This window comes from Homo sapiens, chromosome 2, assembly GCF_000001405.40.
Source record: "Homo sapiens chromosome 2, GRCh38.p14 Primary Assembly".
NCBI lineage: Eukaryota > Metazoa > Chordata > Mammalia > Primates > Hominidae > Homo > Homo sapiens.
Genome location: NC_000002.12, coordinates 191,687,043 through 191,708,232, shown reverse-complemented (window position 1 = coordinate 191,708,232; position 21,190 = coordinate 191,687,043). Strand labels below are relative to the sequence as shown.

General features: G+C 38.6%; 2 long non-coding RNA genes across 6 annotated transcripts in view; both read right to left on the bottom strand.

Annotated features, from left to right (window-relative positions):
- The window catches only part of LOC124908062 (uncharacterized), a 39,374-nt gene extending 32,758 nt beyond the window's left edge, over positions 1–6,616 (bottom strand). The window contains exon 1 of the long non-coding RNA XR_007088698.1: positions 6,420–6,616. This is a non-coding gene — a long non-coding RNA (uncharacterized LOC124908062). The remainder of the gene's footprint in view (positions 1–6,419) is intronic.
- Positions 6,617–9,274: 2,658 nt separating this feature from the next.
- On the bottom strand, positions 9,275–20,947 carry LOC124900605 (uncharacterized). Of its 5 annotated transcripts, none has more exons than XR_007088697.1 (3): positions 18,032–20,947; positions 14,679–16,277; positions 9,275–12,691 (listed from the first exon to the last, which is right to left on the bottom strand). It is a non-coding gene; the product is annotated as an uncharacterized LOC124900605 (long non-coding RNA). The 5 variants fall into 5 exon arrangements; XR_007088696.1 differs by lacking the exon at positions 18,032–20,947 and having other exon boundaries at positions 14,679–14,726; positions 14,817–17,779; XR_007088695.1 differs by lacking the exon at positions 18,032–20,947 and having other exon boundaries at positions 9,275–12,268; positions 14,679–14,726; positions 14,817–17,779.
- Positions 20,948–21,190: the final 243 nt, after the last annotated feature.

The window sequence follows — 21,190 nt, the reverse complement described above, 5'->3', positions numbered from 1 at the left end:
TTGCATAGGTTATTTCAATTAATACAGAACAACCCTAACATGCAAGTGATATTGTCTCCGTTTTTAAGCTCAAGAAATTGAGCTTAGAGAGGGTAAGTGATTTACTCAAGGTTGCACAGCTAATAAGAGGCAAAGCCAAAATTCAGCCTCCAAAGTCTTAACGACTATTAGTTGCTTTTTTCAGAAGTCTCAGTGGCAATACACTCTCATTGATTTTATTCTAAGAAAAAATACTATAGGTGAGAAAATATGTACATCCCAGGATGTTATTTATAAGTATTTGGTCACAAAACTCAAATGTGAAATAAAGTATCAATAAATTATGTCAACCTACATATGTCCCCTCATTATCAGTAAATACATACAAAGTTCCTACTTTATAAAATGATAAAAAATTAATGACTTTCTTTGTAAGGCTGTGAATTTGCAAGTTTGTTCAAACCAGCTGCCTAAGCTACAAAAGCACCCACAGTCAAGGTTAATCAAACACAATACGGCCTTGTGCATTGTTTCAAATCTAACACAATGTTAGCTTATTATTTAGGAAAAAATTGAATACTTAATCTGTACAATCACTCAAAATGAATCTGTATATGTATTACTGTCTTCTATCAGGCCAAAGGGAGCTTTAGGCTAAAGTAGTTAATCTTGGTGATGCTCAACACTGGAATATTCCATCAAATGGGAACGTGATTGGCTTGAGAGACCAGAAAGCTGATGATTTTAACCACTGCACCTAACATGACAAGTTTCGATTAACAGTTGGAAACCTACACTCTGCCGTAGTCCCCAACTCAGGGCAAAAGACAGATGAAGCAGGACAGCAGCAGCTCTGAAGCTAATAAGGAGCTTAGACCACTAGGAAGGTCAGCTGGAAAAATAGCCATACTGCTCTATACTTCTGACACTGCCTAGGCTGGGTGTGGGGAAAGGGAAGCTCAAAGTGTGTATGTCACTAATTCATTATTGCCACTTTTTCAAAAAGATGGATATTAATGTAAACAAGGTGAAGTTCTTACTGGACTTCAGATTTTTTTCTTTTTTTTTTCCCTTTTAACCTTTAGTAATACTTAGAAAGATCAATTAGTTTATAATCAGGCTCTTTCCATCATGCTTCCATTTCTCATTACCTTCAGGAATGTATCCTCAGCAAATATAGCCCTAAAACACTCCTGAAAAGCGCATGAAGGAGAAGCTCATTTGCACAAGAGTAATGATTTAGTCCTGTTCACTTCTAATTTGCATAATCCCCTTTCCTTTCTCCCTTCGTAACTGTCTTTGATATTTTTTCTCCAAATGACATGGGCTGGGAGAAAAAAATTAAGCAAGCATCAAAGTTCTGGTGCCTGTGTTCTCAGCTATTACATTAATCTTTAAGATTTTCTTTCCTGTTTATTAAAATCAGTGACTCATCCAACTTTACACATAAATCCATATCAAAATTAATTAGAATCTCGGAAGTGTAATGTTTGTCTCTGCCTTTATTAATTCCTGGAAGCTTGAAGTCAAGGCTCTGTGTGTGATTGTGGAAGAAAGGAAAAAGAGAAGCCAGTAGACATGACCTGCCAGGATTAACCAGCAGTGTTTGCATGGCAGGTTTCAGAATTTTGCCCAAGCCCCCTTGGTGCAAGGAAGGACCAGACCTCTAAGCAGCCCAGCTGTCAGGTCAGCCTCCTCTGAAATTGGGATTAGCCCTGTCCCCAACTTGAAACAGGGAAGATGGAGGTAAGAAGTAAACAATGAAGAATAGATCCCTGCTTGCTGACTTATGTTTCTCTCCCTCCTCCATAATCAGAAAAGCAGCCAATTCTTATAAATTAACTTTCTCTCCTTTCATCATGAAAAGGTTAAAAAAATGTATCTCACACAAATTTGCAAAACTTCTACTGGAGCAGGAAAAAGAAAGTGCAAGAAATAATGTGGGTACAAGGTGGAAATTATCATGTAGCAAGACATTTTTACATTTGGTTTTCTCAAAGTATACCTGGACACAAATGTAGGCAAAGGTGCATGAATAGGACAGGGGATTAGGTCTAGTACACTTATTAGTGAGAAACTGACAGTAACAGCTCCAGTGCCCAGGATTTTATTGCATATTGATTTTGCTTTAGGAGGTCTGTGTGGAAATCACATAAAATGAACTTAGAAAACTAATTTTCTTCTCTGAAACTGCTCTTGAAAATGTTGGAGAATCTTCCAAAGAATTTTTTCTTGTTTTAAAACATTAGTTTCATTAATAACATTCCAAAATCTAAAGAAAATGCTACAAGAAAGCCAAGAAACCCACGCTTATACCACAAAAGAGGCTTAAATCACCCACAGATAAGACAAGTTAGAGTTTTAAAGCATAATAAATCTATTTTGCATGAACACATTTGAGACTACTTTTTATGAAGTCATTTAATTCCATGGATGTGTAAGGAGATAATTTCAAGCCCCAGAAAAATGTAAAACCAAAAAGTTAATACTGACTTTAACTCACCATGGAGGGCTCCTTCAGGCACTCCAGCTCCCTGCAAAATACTCACCCAACCCAAGAGTTCCAGGACCCCTTCACAATCCAGGGGGCCCCCACTTCTCTGCATGCGCACCCCTGCCTGCTCCAAGCTCAGGAGCAGCCCTGATGCTCTCACAGGTCCAGCAGTAAACATATAAGTTGGCAACCTCCCGAACCCTTAGCTGAATCTAGCAGGGCAAGTGGATGAATAATGTCTCCTTTGGTTGCAGGTGTTTGAACCTGTGCGACAGGCATCTCAGAGCAACCTTGCGCTCTACTATGTTACATAGGTTACTGAGTCAGCCCTTTCCCTTTATCCCCAAAGCTCTCTCCTTCCCCAGGACCCAGCCAGCAAGCAGGGATAAGGATGGACTCTGGGAACAGTCACTGCATTGTACTCAACGCCTCCTCTTGCCCTGTCAAGGAAGGCTTTGTTCTGGTCAAGTTCCACATGTCCAGATCGTTTTTTCCTAGGATATTCTCACCCTTTCCCACCACCTTCCTCTCCCACTCAAATTACACCTATTGGGCAATCTCACCAGTGGGCCCTGCAAGGGCAGATGCTTCTGAACCCCAGCAATGGGCCTAGCTTGACTTCTCTTCCCAGGAAGCTCTTCTGCCTCCAATCGACAATAAACACAGACAAGCCTGAAACCCTAGATATGTTGATAATCCCAAAGAAGGATCCAGAAAAAGAACAGGGAAGGTAACAGGCAGCACCAAGAGCACTTTCACTCCTACTGAGCAGTGGCCACCAGGTTGCTTTGGACCAATGGGTGCTTCATGCCATTTCACAGCACGGCTAAAACATAGGGGTGGGGGTCTGCACAGACGGCTCAAATGTGATAAACAATTTGTCACGTAAGAGCAGGTAAAACCAGACCTATGCTTCGGAACTTACATAGCCAAGTTCATGTTCTCTGACAGCTCTATCACATTTCTACCCCTACCCATTACTGCCTATTCCCTTTGGGACACTACCAAGAGTAATTTTCCCACATCCTTTGGCCCTTCCTTCCCCAGATGCTGCATTTAAGCTTCATCTTCACTTTTCAGTGCTCTCCCAACCCTGTTCTTAAGGACTTACTTTTGTTTTGTATGAAACAAAATAATAAACACCAAATTTCGACACACCCTCTGTGCCACACTGTTTCACCACATTCAAATGAGGCATTTATTTTGATTCAATGTGTATAATATAAATCATAGAGAGGACTCATGTTTTTTGCAGGGATAGGGTCTAAAGTCAGCATATAAAATGAAACCATGCATTGCCTAAATTTTTTTTAAATTTCTTTAAATTAACTTAGGATGCACAGTTTTATGTATGCAGCCCTATACAATAAATCACTTACAAATGATTCCACTTACTATAACAGAGACATGAAAAATCTAATTTTCAAAATTTTATTTTTATAGAGTGAGAGTTAGAAGTGGGTATTCTTCACTGAGTTCTGGGTAAGGCAGTTGCTTTACATTATTTTAAAAACAAAAAGATAGATGTGTTTTCAAGGGCTAGAGTCCCACAGAGCAGCAAGATGCTGCCCTCTAAGAACCATGTCAGAGCTGAGACAACCCGGGGGGCGCCAGTTGTTGGTGTCATGGTGGGTGCACTATTAAAATGAATATTTTTGTCTTTCTTTCCCACTTCTGTCTTATTTTTATTGGGTTTTGTTGGCTTTCTTGTTTACTAAGCCAAGTACTCTTAGTGAATTCTCATAAACTAAATGTGTATGAAATGCAACTTCACTGTAGAGGGAAAAATATTCATCAGGTTGATTATTCAGCAATGTTTGCTTACTCAAATATTTAATCTAAATATGCAGTTAGGCTCCTTTTTACCAGGGGATTGAGTCCTCTTGTTATCACTGGTGCCGCACAACCAGATATCCATACAAACACATACACATCTGCATGCTCATGGTACATACACACTCTCACTCAAGCAGCCACACAAGCACCACCAAGAAGGCAGTGAATGAAACACCATCCTCCAAAACCTCCAATCAATGATGAATCAACGTATTCCCCCACTAGTTGGTAAACTCTTTGGTGTCTGTGACCCCAACCCCACATCAACTCCCTCCTATCTGGCAAGTCGTCATTCCTACTCCCCTGTGTCCCTGTGGTGCCCTGCTGGCACTGAGCTCCTTGCCTCCATCTGCACCGCTGTCTCGCTGGGTCCCTGCCGTGCACTCTGCTGCCCTCCTTGCTGCCAGCATTTTGCAGCCGCCACCTTTCTGCCTCCAGCGCTGCTGGCAGCTTCTATTATTGCTGCATTTGCTGAGAAAGCCAGTCCTAAAACTGTCTCTCTTCTCTAGAAACACAAAAAAAATGGAGGGGAAAACAAGGCACTCTCAGGGACTAGTCAGCTTTCTGTCCTTCAAAAGTCCAAGGTCTGAATTCCTGGTTTGTATAGTCTCAATAATACCACCTCACAAAGGTAGGAGGAGGTCTTCCCAGCACTAGTGCTTATTTCAGGATGGCTGATCATGGGGAAATCATTAACATGAAATAACAACAGCAAACAATTACATAGCACTTAGAACCTTCTAGGAACTGTTTAAAATGCTTGGCACACATTAATTTAATACAATTATTATGCCAGTCCCTTTCAATGTTAAAAGCATGCTTATACCTAAATTGGCCTCCTAGACCCAGATCTAAACTTTCCAATAGAAGGGAAATACTTTGCTTTCCCATCATCATCCAGAGTGATATTTCCGTCTTCCCACTCAGGATATAATAAGATTGCACGAGGTTAATACCTGGCTTGTCCCAAATTCTGAGCATTCCTAGATTGTTATATCATAGTATAAGGTTTAGCTTTCTCAGGGCAGATAATGTGTCCATTCAAATTTTTAAACTTTTTTTAAAATGAAAATAAGTAGAAGATAGAAAAATATAATAAACCCTTTTATACTAGTCCCCAATCCTTAATAATTATCATCTTATGAATAATCTTACTTCATCTATACTCCCACCCACAGGACTATTTTGAGGCAAATAACTAATATCCTATCATTTCATCTTGTAATGACCAGGTGCCTTGTCAATGGGCAGCAATATTTTGAAAAGAATCCTTTTCTCTGAGTAGTAATTCTCAATAGTAGGTTTAAAATATTCAGTAAACCATGCTATAAACAGATGTGCTGTCATCCAGGTTTTGTTTTCCCATTTATAGAGCACAGGCAGAGTAGAGTTAGCATAATTCTTAATGGCCCTAAGATTTTTGGAACAGTAAATGAGCATTGGCTTTAACTTAAAATCACCAACTGCATTATCCCCTAACAAGAGAATCAGCCTATTCTTTGAAGCTTTGAATCCAGGCATTGACTTCTTCTCTCTAGCTATAAAAGTCCTAGATGGCATCTTCTGTCAACAGAAAACTCTTTTGTCTAATCATCCTTCAGTCTTGCCTCCAGGACCTTCTACCTATACCCAAATACATACATGCTCAAGTCCCACAGTCAGCTCTGTGGAACCTGCATATATGAAAAGATGGCTCTCTATATATGTGGGTTTCACATCCCATGAATACTGTATTTTCAATCTGCATTTGATTGAAAATAATTAATGTAAAAGTGAACCTGCACAGGCTCAAACCGTGTTGCTCAAGGGTCAACTGTGCATTGAAAATCTGTTGTTTAATGTAGCCACCTGTCTTCCTCTGTTTGTGTTGCTATCAAGGAATACTTGACACTGGGTAATTTACAAAGAAAAGAGGTTTATTTGGCTCATGGTTCTGCAGGCTGCACAAGAATGTGTTGCCAACATCTGCTTCTAATGAAGAGCTCAGGAAGCCTCCCCTCATGGCAGAAAACAAAGGGGAGCTGGTGTGTAGAGATCATATGTCAAGAGGGAAAGCAGGAGAGAGGGGAGGTGCCAGATGCTCACAGAAACCAACAGAACAAGAACTCACTCATTTCCACAAGGACGGCACCAAGTCCTTCTTAAGGGATCTGCCCCCATGACTCAAACACCTCCTGTTAGGTCCCACCTCCAACGCTGGGGAACAAATTTCAACAAAAGGTTTAGAAGGATAAACATTCAAACTATAGCACCACCTTCTTCAATGAATTATCTTAGCTAGATCTTCTGGAGAACTTGCTGCAGCTTCTACGTCAGCACTTGCTGCTTTACCTTGCACTTTTATGTTATGGACTTAGCTTCTTTCCTTAAATTTTATAAACTGACCTCTGCTAGCTTCCAACTCTTCTTCTGCAGCTTCCTCACCTCTATCAGGCTACACAGAATTGAAGAGAGTTAGGACTTATTCTGGATTAGGTTTTGGCTTAAGGGAATGTTATAGCTTGTTTGATCTTCTATATAGACCACTAAAACTTTCTATATATCAGCAATAGGCTGTTTCACTTTTTTATCATTCATGTATTCAGAACAGAATTCTCTGGTTTATTTCAAAATGACTACTTTTCCCTTCCCTCTGCCAGAAGCGGGAGAGGATTTTTCTTTGATATTCACTATGAGAATCTGGTAGAGCTCCAGGAGATAAAACTCACAAAAGTGTGGGAGCCCCTCAGTGACTGGATTTTCCTGGTGTTTTTAATCTCTTAGACTTGTCACTCTGAGCCTCCAGCAAATCATCCACTACAGTTCAAGTTTTCCTATCCTGCACTGGTTCCCATGGAGGTTTCTGCTCCTGGGTTTTTGCTCTGGTAAGTTGTGATTCTTTGTATTTGCCTGACTCTGCGGGGCAGTGGTTTGCTCTATGACCTCACTGTTCTTACAGATCTAAGAAGAGCTGTTAACTTTTCAGTTTGTTCGGCTTTTTTACTTGTCGTTAGGGTAGAGTGGTGACGTCCAGGCTCCTTAAATGTGGAACTGGAAACTAGAACAGGACACAACAGGTATCTCCAAAATATTAGGACTCTTCAACATAGACAACAAGCCATGTCACACTGGGAAAAAAGTGACCCATTTCTTAATATCATCAATATCTAATCACAGTTCAGATTTTCCCAAATGTCCATTGAATACTTTTATCCAGTGGATTCTTTCACAACAAAATTCAAATAAGGTTCACACATTGCATTTAGTTTATGTTTCCCTTGAGAGGACTTTCCACAATCATCACCCGTTTAATTTCCTTGCAATTTATTTGTTGAAGAAACATGGCTGTTGATCTTACAGGGTTTCAGACATTGTTTCCTATGGGATTATTTAACTTGTTCTCTGCACTCTAATTTCCATAAACTGGTAGATATAGAGACCCGAATACAGTCAGGATCAATTTTTTTTTAAAGAATACTAGTGTTAGTTCTTCTTATTGCTTCATATCAGGAGGTGCATAATGTATGGTTGTCTAGTGTTTTGTGATTGATCAAGGTGGTTCTGAATTGTCAACTAGATCCATTTATTAGAAAGCATTCATCAATTTTCCAAAATGATTTAGAGGACATTGGTGATCATTTCATAGATTCATTATTTCATTAGAAGTAGCAAAATGGTGATATTATAATGCTGTCATTCCTTCTTAATTTATTAGCTGGAATTTCTTATAAAAAAGAACTTTTCCATATCAACTATTAGATTACCCTGAGGCATGGTTTTTATAGGATAGACAATATAAATATTCTATTCTTTTTATTTATCTATTTTCAGAACAATGAGTTTTCGGTGTGTGTTTTGAGTATATGTGTGTATATATATGTATACACATGTGTGTATATGTATACACATATGTGTGTATATGTATACACATGTGTGTATATGTATACATATATGTGTGTATATGTATACATATATATGTGTGTATGTATACATACATGTGTATATACATGTGTATACATATATGTGTGTATATACATATATGTGTATATGTATACATATATGTGTGTATATGTACATATGTGTGTATATGTATACATATATGTGTGTATATGTATACATATGCGTGTGTATGTATACATATGCGTGTGTATGGATACATATGTGTGTATGTATACATATATGTGTGTATATGTATACATGTGTGTATATATGTGCATATGTATACATATGTGTGTATATGTATGCGTGTGTGTATATGTATACATATGTGTGTATATGTATGCGTGTGTGTATATGTATACATATGTGTGTATACATATGTGTGTATATGTGTACACATATGTGTGTATACACGCGTGTATATGTGTACACATATGTATGTATACACGTGTGTATGTGTACACGTGTGTATGTATGCACATGTGTGTATGTATGCACGTGTGTATGTATGCACATGCGTGCACATATGTATACATATGTGTGTGTATGTATGCATATGTGTGTGTATGTATGCATATGTGTATACATACATGTGTATGTATGTATACATACATATGTGTATACATACATATGTGTATATGTGTGTATACATACATATGTGTATATATATACACACATATGTACATATACATATATATATATACACACATATGTACATATACATATATATATATTTTTTTTTTTTTTTTTTTTTTCCTTGGAGAAAGGGTCTTGCTCTCTTATCCAGGCTGGAATGCAGTGGCATGATCATGGCTCACTGAAGCCTCGATCTCCGGGGCTCACAGGACCCTCCCTCATCAGCCCCCTCAGTAGCTGCAACCATAGGCATGCGCCACCACACCCAGCTAATTTTTTTAATTTTGTGTAGAGATGGGGTCTCACCATGTTGTCCAAGCTGGTCTCAAATCCCTGGGATCAAGCAATCCTCCCAATCAGCCTCACAAAGTGTTAGGATTACAGCCATGAGCCACCACATCTGGCCAAGTGTAATTTTAAACTCTCAGATTTTAATATGAATTTCAATTTATCACAACTGTTGTTTTGGTATACACAATTTCCCATCTTTGGCAAGAAATAATCCCTTTAAATTGGCTCCTAGTCCTTAAAAATGCAGTATTTTTTAAGGGTTTCCTTTATTTCATGTTCAACAAGATGTTTTCAGCTCATCTCATACATTCGTCATTTCTCCAAGGAATTCTTATTCCTTTTAGCAGAAAATTGCATTTAGAGACTATAATCTGCATTCTAAGGGTGCTCATTACTGATTTTCAAATAACAGGGCTAGAAAATGTGCTTCTGTAAAGGAAATACATTATGATTTTATAATGATATTTCCAATTCAAATTTGTAATTATAAACACAATTTATAATTTTATTTAGCAGCTTTGATTTTATATATATAGTTTCTTGATTCCTAATATTAACAAAATTGCATGTTATTTATCCTCCAAAATGTATATAATAGATTCAGAGTAACAATATTAACATATATTATTATTCAATATTAATACTATTTGTAAATTAATTTTATTTTTAATTTTTTATTTATTTTTAATTTAGTTTCATACTTTAGGGCATATCCACTAAAAATGCATAGACAAGTGACTGTGTTTTAAAAATACTTGAAGTAATTCTCCTCTGTGTGTTTAGGACACCAACACAATTAGTTTCATTTATTTCATTTAGCTTTTGCTTTGGATATATAGTTACGCACCTCATAACATTGTTTCAGTCAACAATGGACCACAATGAACCACGTATGCACCAGTGGTTCCATAAGGTTGTAATGGAGCTGGACAATTTCTATCACCTAGTGACACTGTAACTGCAGTGACATCATAGCTGTCTTAATGGTATAGCGCAATGCATTACATATGCAAATCTATGAATAAAAAAGAAGCAAATTGAGTAAACCACCATGGACATATTTCTGAAAAGAGTGACACTGCCTCAAAAAGAGCCTCAGGCAGGTCCTTCAGGAAGCCTTCCAGAAGGCATTGTTATCATAGGAAATGACAGCTCCATACATGTTATTGCCCCTCAAGACCTTCCAGTGGGACAAGATGTGGAGATGGAAGACACTGATATTAATGATCCTGACCCTGTGTAGGTCTAGGCTAATATGTGGGTGTCTTACATGTTTTTTTTTTTTTTTTTTTTTTTTTTTTTTTTTTTTTTTTTTTGAGACGGAGTCTCGCTCTGTCGCCCAGGCTGGAGTGCAGTGGCGCAATCTCGGCTCACTGCAAGCTCCGCCTCCCGGGTTCACGCCATTCTCCTGCCTCAGCCTCCCAAGTAGCTGGGACTACAGGCGCCCGCCACTACGCCCGGCTAATTTTTTGTATTTTTTTAGTAGAGACGGGGTTTCACCGTTTTAGCCGGGATGGTCTCGATCTCCTGACCTCGTGATCCACCCGCCTCGGCCTCCCAAAGTGCTGGGATTACAGGCGTGAGCCACCGCGCCCGGCCTCTTACATGTTTTTTTTAAGCTTTAAAAAAAAAAATACATTTGAAAATATTTTAAAAAGCTTATAGAATGACATAAAGAAAATATTTTTGTACAGCTGTACAATGTGTGTTTTAAGCTAAGTGTTATTACAAGAGTTAAAAACTTAAAAAACATTTAAAAAGTTTAAAAAGTAAGTTACAGTGAGCTAACTCATTATTGAAGAAGAAAATGTTTTTTATAAATTTAGTGTAGCCCAAATGTTCATAAATTCTACAGTAGTGTAGAATAATTTCCTAGGCCTCCACATTCACTCACCACTCACTCACTGACTCATACAGAGCAACTTCCAACCTCTAAGCTCCATTCCTGGTAAGTGCCCTTGCAAGTGTACCATTTTTTGACTTTTATACTGTGTTTTTACTGTACCTTTTCTATGTTTAGATACACAAATGTTTACCATTCTGTTACAATTGCCTACAGTATTCAGTACAGTAACATGCTATACAGGTTTGTAGCTTAGGAGCAATAGACTACATCATATAGCCTAGGTGTGCAGTAGGTATATTCTATGATGTTGGCACAGGGACAAAAGTGCCTAACGGCACCATTTCTCAGAATATATCCCTGTCATTAAGTGACACATCACTGTATAAGTATTTTTTATCTTGATTATAAGTGTGACGTGTGTAAAACATTGACATGGTTCTAAAGTTCTAGCTACAAAACAAAGTAAATTTAGAGAAATCTAACTTCCATCTGTGTCCCCTTGCTTTCTTCTAAAAAATCATTTTAGTGGTTTCTTATTCTTTCATTTTCTAAATAAAAGCAAAATACATATTTATATTCTCCCTTTATTAAATAAGAGGTAGCATACTCTATTAACTATTCTACACCTTGTTTTTTTCACTTAACAATATATCCTAAAGATCATTTTATGAAAGTATACAAATTTCCTACCCCTGTTGGAGCTGCTTAGTATTCCACGGGGTGAATGCACTGTAGTAGGTTCAACCACTCCTGAGTTGGTGGACATCTGAGTCGTTTCCAGTCTTTAACTATTATAGGCAATGCTTCGGTGAACATGTCTTTTCATGTTTGTGCCATTGTATCTTTAGTTTTGTATCAGTTAGCTTTTGCTATGTATAGCACACTGCCTCAGAACTTAATGGCATAAAGCTACAATCATTCATTAGCTCAAGATTCTGTAGGTCAGCAATTTTGGCAGAGCTCAGTGCTGTCCTTCTGTTGTTCTCACTCATGTGACTGAAGTCAGCTGGCAACTCAGCTGGAGCTGGATAGTCTAAGACAGACTCATCCATGTGTCTGGTGTAAGCAGGCTGTGAGCCAAGGTTTCTCAAGTGACCTCTCATCCTCCAGCAGGCTAGCTAGTGATCATTTATGTGGTCTCATGGCAGTCTCAGGGCTCCAAGCACTTCAAGAGAGAGCAAGCTCAATGCCCAAGCACTTTTCAATCTTCTGTGGCCATCAAGTTTGCTATTGTCATTTTGATCATGCAGGACACATGGACAAGCCCACTGTCAGTAGAAAAGAAGAGGACTAACCAAAGACGTGCAAACATATTTCCCTGCTTCCATGGAATGGGTATACCACCGTCTATTTGCAAATCATCTACCATGGAGAGACATTCCTAAACGTGGGCGATATGGTTTGGATATTTGTCTCCTCGAAGTCTCATGTTGAAATATGATCCCCGCTGTTGGAGACGGGGCCTAGGGGGAGGTGTTTGGGTCTAGGTAGTGGATCCCTCGTGAATGGTTTGGCACTTTCTCAGTAGCAATGCGTTCACATGAGAACTGGTTGCTTAAAAGAGCCTGGTATCTCTCTTGCTTCCTCTCGTCATGTAATATGCTGGCTCCTCTTCTCTTCCACCAAGACCAAAAGCTTCCTGGGCCTCATCAGAAGCTGAGCAGATGCTAACAGCCCTGCTTGTATACAGCCTGAAGAACCATGAAAAAAAATACCTCCTTTCTTTATAAATTACCCAGCCTCAGATTTTTTTATAGCAATATGAAAGGAATAATATAGCAGGATTGCTGGGTCACAAGGCAAATTTAAATGTAAAATTGCCAAATTCCCCTATAACAGAGATTATACAGTTTTGCATTTCCTCCATCAGTGAATGTTCCTATTCCAATAGTGTTACCAAGAGAATATTTTCTTTTTTGAGACAGAGTTACACTCTCGTCGCCCAGGTTGGAGTGCAGAGGTGCAATCTCGGCTCACTGCAACCTCCACCTCCCAGGTTCAAGCAATTCTCCTGCCTCAGCCTCCCAAGTAGCTGGGATTACAGGTGCGCACCATTATGCCCAGTAAATTTTTGTATTTTTAGTAGAGACGGGGTTTCACCATGTTGGCCAGGCTGGTCTTGAATGCCTGACCTCAGGTGATCCACCCACCTTGGCCTCTCAAAGCGCTGGGATTACAGGCATGAGCCACCACACCTGGCCAAGCAAGTGTGTTTTCAAACTTTCATTTTTTTTTTTTTTTTTTTTTTTTTTTTTTTTTTTTTTGAGACGGAGTCTCGCTCTGTCGCCCAGGCTGGAGTGCAGTGGCGGGATCTCGGCTCACTGCAAGCTCCGCCTCCCGGGTTCACGCCATTCTCCTGCCTCAGCCTCCCAAGTAGCTGGGACTACAGGCGCCCGCCACTACGCCCGGCTAATTTTTTGTATTTTTAGTAGAGACGGGGTTTCACCGTTTTAGCCGGGATGGTCTCGATCTCCTGACCTCGTGATCCGCCCGCCTCGGCCTCCCAAAGTGCTGGGATTACAGGCGTGAGCCACCGCGCCCGGCCAAACTTTCATATTTTTTCCAATCTAAAAGTGAAGAATGTTATCTTGGTGGTATTTTAATTTACATCTTTCATTATGAGTGAAGTTGAGCATCTTTTTATATACTTAAGGGCCATTTGAACTTTTTTTCTGTGAACTGTCCATATCTTTTGCCCACTTTTCCATAGTGTGTTTTGTCTTCTCTATTTATACAAGTTCTTTTTATGTTAGGAATATTAGCCCTTTGTGATGTTACAAATGTTTTTCCCAGTTGTCATTTTATTTTTTAACATGTAAATGTAGTCAAATTGATCAATCTTTCCTTTAATGCTTCTGGACTTTGAGCCATTTTTGGAAAATTTTCTCCATTCTTAATAGAATTCACCCATGGTTTTTTACTGTTTGTGTGGTGGTTAGGGAGAGTATCCAGTTATCCCAATACCCAAGAGTCCATAATTTCCCTGTTGATCTGATACCACTTCTGTAGACTTAAATTTGACTAATTGGGTTTGTAATAAGTTGACATTTAAAGTATGACTAATCTCAGGTAAAAATGTAAATTAGTCAAATTCCATATTTTGTTCTCCATCTTCCCCTCTGCATACACTCCCTTTCAAAACTAACTCCAATTCTATATCCTCTATGAAGCACCATCCACTGTCAGCAGCAGCCTCAATGTTTCACTATTGCTCAACTGTAATAGTATAGGCTTTGGTGTGTTGGACTCAGTCACCGCCTAGTTGTGTGATCTCATGCAAACTACTCAATCCTTCCCATGGGGATAACAAAACCTCCCTCTCAGGGTCTTTCATAGGTAACTCACTAGCATAGTACTTGGCATATAGTTAGTGCTCAACAAAGTATAGGCAGCCCATTAAAGAAGTGGAAGGAGAGAATCCTTAAACAATTGATGAGAAAGAAAAGCAAAGACCTGATATGCATGTGACTCAGATATGTGGAGTTCAATGCAGAAACACCTCTGATGGCAGTGATAATGTGTCATGTGTTCGTGTATATACGTGCACGTGCACATGGACTGGGAAAGAACACATGACTATATTTTTTTAGTCTGTTTCACTCAGGAATATTTCCCTGTAGACTCAGGGTGGGGGGTTGTAGCGGGGGGCGGGGTGTCTTTACTTGACAAGTAACTTACACTCTCTGGCTATGCGGATTCTGAATGCCAACCTTGGAGTACAAAATCCTAAGGAGGAGAGAGCACTTCAGTTCAGCTCATACCTTAAGAAAATTAGAGCCTAAGAATCAATATCTTCTGAAGAACTGAGCAACTGACCTGCAAACACTGAAGTTCCAGGATACTCCCTCTACTCTTGGCACTCTATCTCTGAGGACTTCATATCACGCCCTGCCACAGGCTCCTCCTCTTGCTTAGAACTGTTCAGGGCAGAGGAGTGGTGTGCTAACTCCTTTCAGCCAGTTCTTTGATGGCAAGTCCTCCTTCATTTCAGCAGTTTCTGCCCCAAATGTCAAGGATGACAGGTTTAAATCTTGATGGAAAAAAGAAAAAAAGAGTTGGAGCTAAGTTGAAACAGGGAAGAATAAAATACCAAGATCTTAGAACTTTATTTGAGATGCATGAAGGGCTAGGTTTGGCTGTACTCTGGCATGGTTAAGACTTGGAGAAATCTAGAGATGACTTTGGCACATATGAAATTTCCCTTCAGATAAGAATGTTTTTTAAAGTATTGAAAGAATGATGGCTGCTGGGGCCATGGAAAAAGAGATTGACTGGGGAAGGCACATTACAGAGGCTTCTAGAATGACAGCAATGTTCTGTATCTTGATAGAGGTTGCGATAAAGCCTAGGTATTTGTTAAAACTCAACTAATGCACAACTAAGATTTCCACATTTCTTTGTAAATTTTACAAAAAAAAAAAATCCTGAAAAATACTGAACTGTAATGAATAGGCATGTTGCAACGTTTAGGGAAAATTGTACGATGTCTGCAATTGACTAAAAATATATTAAAAATGCATTAATGGCTGGCTGGGCACGGTGACTCATGCCTGTAATCCTAGCACTTTGGGAGGCTGAGGCCAGAGGATCACTTGAGCCCAGGAGTTCAAGGCCAGCCTGGGGCAACATGATGAAACCCCTTCTTTACCAAAAATACAAAAATTAACCGGGCATGGTGGCTCCCCTCTGTAGTCCCAGCTATTCAGGAGCCTGAGGTGGGAGAATCGCCTCAATCTTGGAGGCAGAGGTTGCAGTGAGCTGAGATTGCACCATTGCAATCCAGCCTGAGTAAAAGAAACTCTGTCTCAAAAAAATAATAATTAAAAATGTATTAATAGGATGCACAGATATGTGATAGTGGCAAAATCTAGGTGGTGAGTATAAATTCTTTCAACATGCCTATATGTTTAAAATTTTTAATAAAATGTTGGGAAGTTATCCAATACTATAGTTATCAGAAGCCAATAAATTACTCCGCAACTCTGGGTGCACAGCAATTCCAAGGGCTGTCACCGGGAACAGAGAATTCCTTCCAATGTGCCCTCTGCCTGGCCCTAAGCAAGCCACTAACCTCCTTTCTGACACAAACCTGGACCCACAAGTTCTCTGTACTTTCATCATCTTGTCCTGCTGGGCAGAGGTGAATGGAAAAACACCAGTGTACTCAGCTAGTGGGCAGATCTTTGTAATGAAGACCCAACCCTACATGCTGTCACGGTAAACCGTCAGCATAAGTGCTTGTCTGTGCCCAGACAAGACAGGAAAAACTTGGTTTGACTGTTTAAAAAAGAACATAATTGTAATAATTCACATAAATTGCTTAATATTTCAGATTTTAAATTATAGAAGATTGTTTTCTAATAATGGCATGGAGAAATGAACAGTATTTTAACTTATTTCCAATGCTGATGGAGAAAGGGCTTAACATTTGTTGACCCTTAGATATGGAGCAGATGTTTTGCATACATTAGCTCACATAGTCCTCCTAACACTATGAGTACATAGCCCCACTATCATTTTATAACGAGGTTCATGGTCCTGGAGCCAGTAAATAGATCCAGGACTCAAACCAAGATCTCCTCAGCCCAAAACCATGTTCTTCTTCATGGAAGCACATTCTGGCATTTAAAATAGGTTATGTTCTGCAAAGCTCACATAATTACAACAGCAGCAGTCATTTGGCCAGGATTTTACCAAATACCATTGGGTAAAGGAATGAAATTTCTAAGGGCAGTGTCGTGTTCTACTTCAATTGTTTTTACCAAACCACCACTCACCAAAAGGCATTTTTAACAGTTTACACTTCTCACCAACAATATTGACAAATGTGATGAGAATACAAAACTTGGCAACCTTTCCCATATTTTCTATAGCTTTAGGGGCAGTTCAGGGTTTCATCTACTTAACTGAAATTTAATGTCAGTGTTGATTGTTCATAAACTAAACAAATGGCCCAACTGCCCCTTAAGGATTTTCCATATCATACTTAACACCACTATCAGGCAAAAATCGCTATTCATTGGAACAGAACCATTTCCCCCACGTGTTAAACTAAGCCAGATTTCTAAACAGACAGAAACTATGCAGCAATGACCCAGTAGATGGCACTAGTTGTGCTGACTACCTTTCTATTCAAGTAGTCCAGCAACTTAGGTCAGAAGTTTGTTTCCTACGAGGGCTATAAACATTTAATACTGAACATTAGAAACACATGGCAATCAAATCATGATTTCCATGTTACTTGCAGAAAATACTCATTGTAGTTGCCTCTCTGTACAGAACTGAGATCTTTACGTGGAAGATGAAGGGTGGTTTCTCTAAGTATTTTCAAAAGTATTTATCAAGTCTCCAACTCAACTACTTTTCAATTTGGCCAGCCTTCTTTTAGTAAAGTAGGGAATTGAGGGACAGGAGGAAGGCAGAAGATGCTGGTAACATTAATTTGCTGAGATGAGCAACAATAAACTCTAAATTTTCAAAAACGTAGGAAAAAAAGCATTTTACTTTTATCTAGATAGGCTCAAGGAAAGTCATGTGACCTCCCAATTAATATCTGATCCTCGAATTGATATATAATTTAAATCATTTTATTTGAGCCTAATTCAAAATTTGCAATACCCTCATCCAGAGGCCATACTGAACCTCTTATTCTGCTCTGCGCTATATGCTTTACCCAACAATTCTGCCCTCTGGAGGGACATTCTTTTAAGCACAATTTTTTGTTTTACAATCCAACACGTCAGCATATATTAGCCTCACAAAGGTAAAAGAAACTGAGGGGAAAAAAAAAAAATATATATATATATATATATATAATTTCAATACAAGGGAAGATCTCAAGGGCAGGAGGCAGACAACCTCAGGGTTTCAAATGCAGATCTCCCAAATGTACACTGATGTTATTCTAGTAATGCAGAGGTGCAACCTGTACTTTTAACAAGTTCCTGGGAAGCCTCATGTAGATGGTTTCTAAATCACTAAGAATTTTACTCAATATGCATTTAATATACAAACCAAGAAACTAGACTTACCCAATGCTGAAAAGCATAAATTTTGATGGAGTAAGAGACATAACTTCAATTTCTGATTGGAAATAACAGGTTTTTTTAAACATCACTAGCCCTTCAACAGAGGTTGAGACATATTGTGGGGGTCTGATCAGTAGTGTGTCAATAAACTCTCAAGAGACCTGTGCTCTTTTATAGGTCAACAATGATCATCCAAGCCCACACGTTCTCAAAGCCTGGGGAGCCACAATAAAATTGTGGGTTGTCAACCAAGACCCTCCAAAAGACTTAAACGAAATGTCTACTAGTCAAACTTCTTAAAATGTTCGTTGTCTTCACATCACGCTGGTTCTCTCACAGTAGTAAAAAGCTCTTAGTAACATCTTTGGGTCCAATGTTAACATGGAAAAAAGTTTGTCATAAACCAGACTTGATTTCCTCTTTTCTTACTCTGTGATCTATACTTTGAGAAACATCAATAGATCATTTTAGTTCAGAAACCTGGAGTAATTTGGTTACAATATTTGAATTCCAAACTCAGGCAGTCTCCAGTAAAGCACACTGAAACATTTGGATGTAATTTAAATACACTTGAAAAGTAAAATGTTTTTCTAGCTTTTCCCTCAGGGCGTAACACCACACCATTCATAACAATGCTATTTTCCAAAGGTCTCAATTAGATTTCCTCAGAAGCATACCTGAACTGTTAATCATTACAACTCCTTTGTGAAACATGGGACTGGTTGATTACCCAGTGTAATCACTGGCTGAAACCTCAGCACACTGTTTTTCACCCCAGTGGAGGCAGGTTTTCACCTCCCCTCTAGCTGTACCCCTCTCTTAATGCCCATATTAGAGAACTGTGATCTTCTTTCTCCACTAGAAATGTTCACTTTCATCAGGTAAGGGATAAAACAAAAACAAGAGACAGAAGATCTTAAAAAAAAAAAATAGTAATAGGGCAAGTAAACTCAGTGAGGTTAGAGGAATTTGTTTGGGGGGCATTCTATGTTGTTAGTTTCATATCATGTTCAGTTTGTTGTTTCTAGAACCCTCTGAAATGCATTAGAAGACCTTAAGAGTCATTCTCAGCCTAAAATGGCTTGGAACAAACAGCCAGTATCTCAATGACACCAGAAAAAGTCATTTCAGTAACTAAACTGAAATGTTAGAGTTATATGTCTTCAGACTGATGTAAAACTTTTACCTTCTGAGAAAACCTTTTAGGGTCATTTACCTACTTTCCTATAGTTAAGAAGTTCTCGTATCATAAATTGTAACTTTAATCTTTTACTAACCTCACATCTATTTGTTTTTAGCATCATTCCCTTGGCATTACTCAACCCAGCAAATTAAACATTCATTTAAAATGTTAAATGATAAAAATACAAATGACTAACAGTAATACCCATATTCAGGTTATCCTAAGTTAAACTGTCATCAAAGTTAAAATTACAAAGGCTATAGGGACAAAGTATAAAGCGTTGGAAAAAGTGAGTGTTTAAATGCCTATGGGAAAACATACTGTAGCCTTCCCCACTAAATATCATTATCATTATCTAGCTTTACGATTTCATCTTTCAGTTTTTGTATTACAGCAGCTTCTCCTAGAACCTGCCCAAACAAGAAGGGGCAAGCTGATCTGATGAGACTTTGATCCACTCCAGAACTGTTTTGTAGAAATGATATGGGGGACCCAATTCTGGTGGGGGATATTTTTATACTAAGTGGTTTTTGTTTTCAGTAGGTGTTGTTTAAACTTATTTCAAAGTTGATAGCTGAGAGCACTAGGAAGGAGGAAGGCAGAAAACTTTCTTCCTCTTAAGTTCTTGATGAATGTGTTCCAGTAGGCTGGTAAGGCAAATATTCATTATGGATTGTAACTCACTTTTCTTTGATTTTGGAGGCTTCCCTTAAGAAAAAAGAAATTTGTTAATAAATGATAAAAACACAGAACAAGGTTACATTATTGAAGCAAGTGTCAATCACAAAAGTAAAAGCTTAAGTCTTTCTCCATTTAATCTCAACATGTTAAGCAGGGGTCCCCAACCCCTAGATCAGTATCAATTCTGGCCTGCTAGGAACAGGAACGCCCAGCAGGTGAGTGGCGGGCGAGGGAGACTTACTGCCTGAGCTCCACCTCCTGTCAGATGAGTGGTGGCATTAGATTCTCATAGGAGCATGAACCCTATTGTGAAATGAGTATGCAAGGGATTGAGGTTGCACGCTCCTTATGAGAATCTAACTAATGACTGATGACCTGAGGTGGAACAGTTTCATCCCAAAACCATCCCCCGATCCCACGGAAAAACTGTCTTCCAGGAGACTGGTCTCTGGTGCCAAAAAGGTTGGGGACCACTGTGTTAAAGGGTAACAATACTTTCATACTGAATTCTGCATTTTTTTCCTACTGTTGGGGTATAAGACGACATTATTATGTGTCAGAAGTCATTATAATTACTTACATGGAAATCTTAAACAAGTCTAGAAAGGATACTGTTACTTACTTGTTTTCATACTTGTGGAACCTAAGGCTTAAAGACATTTCAAGTGTAATAACTCATCCAACATCACAGGTGAGGAGACAATGAGGCCAGGATTGGAAGCCCAGCATTCCATACCTGACAGCATTTAAATTTTCTAAAATTCCAAATTTTTTTCTTTTAAAATCACCTTTAATGCTGTATTCTCCCACAAATAATTTAAAGTGTTGCTCCTATCTTACTTATATAAAACAATCATATACTAATTTGTAGGGTTTTTAAAAATTCTAAACATCTACAATTTTATGAAACATACTCTCTATCCCAGTCCTTAGACAACTTCTTTTGAGGTATTCTATAATGTGAAAATCTTAAGAAAACATTAATCACAAACAAAGCCAAATTATAATCATGAATATGCATATGAACAAAGGAAAAAAATTTCTATAATTTTTGTAACCCCAGTTACAAAAGTACTATAGACCACAAATAAACTTGTGGAGATTATTCGGTATTTTGTCTACCCCTTAACACTTTCCACACAGTGCCTAATACATAGTGTGTACTGAAATATTTGTTAAACACAGTGAATTAGGGCAAACAATCTGGCACAACTTTTTGTATTCAAATGCTATGGAGTTTTCAGAAAACAAAATCTACTTATTTTGTGATTTGAAGTGGAAAAAAAACAAAGCAACAA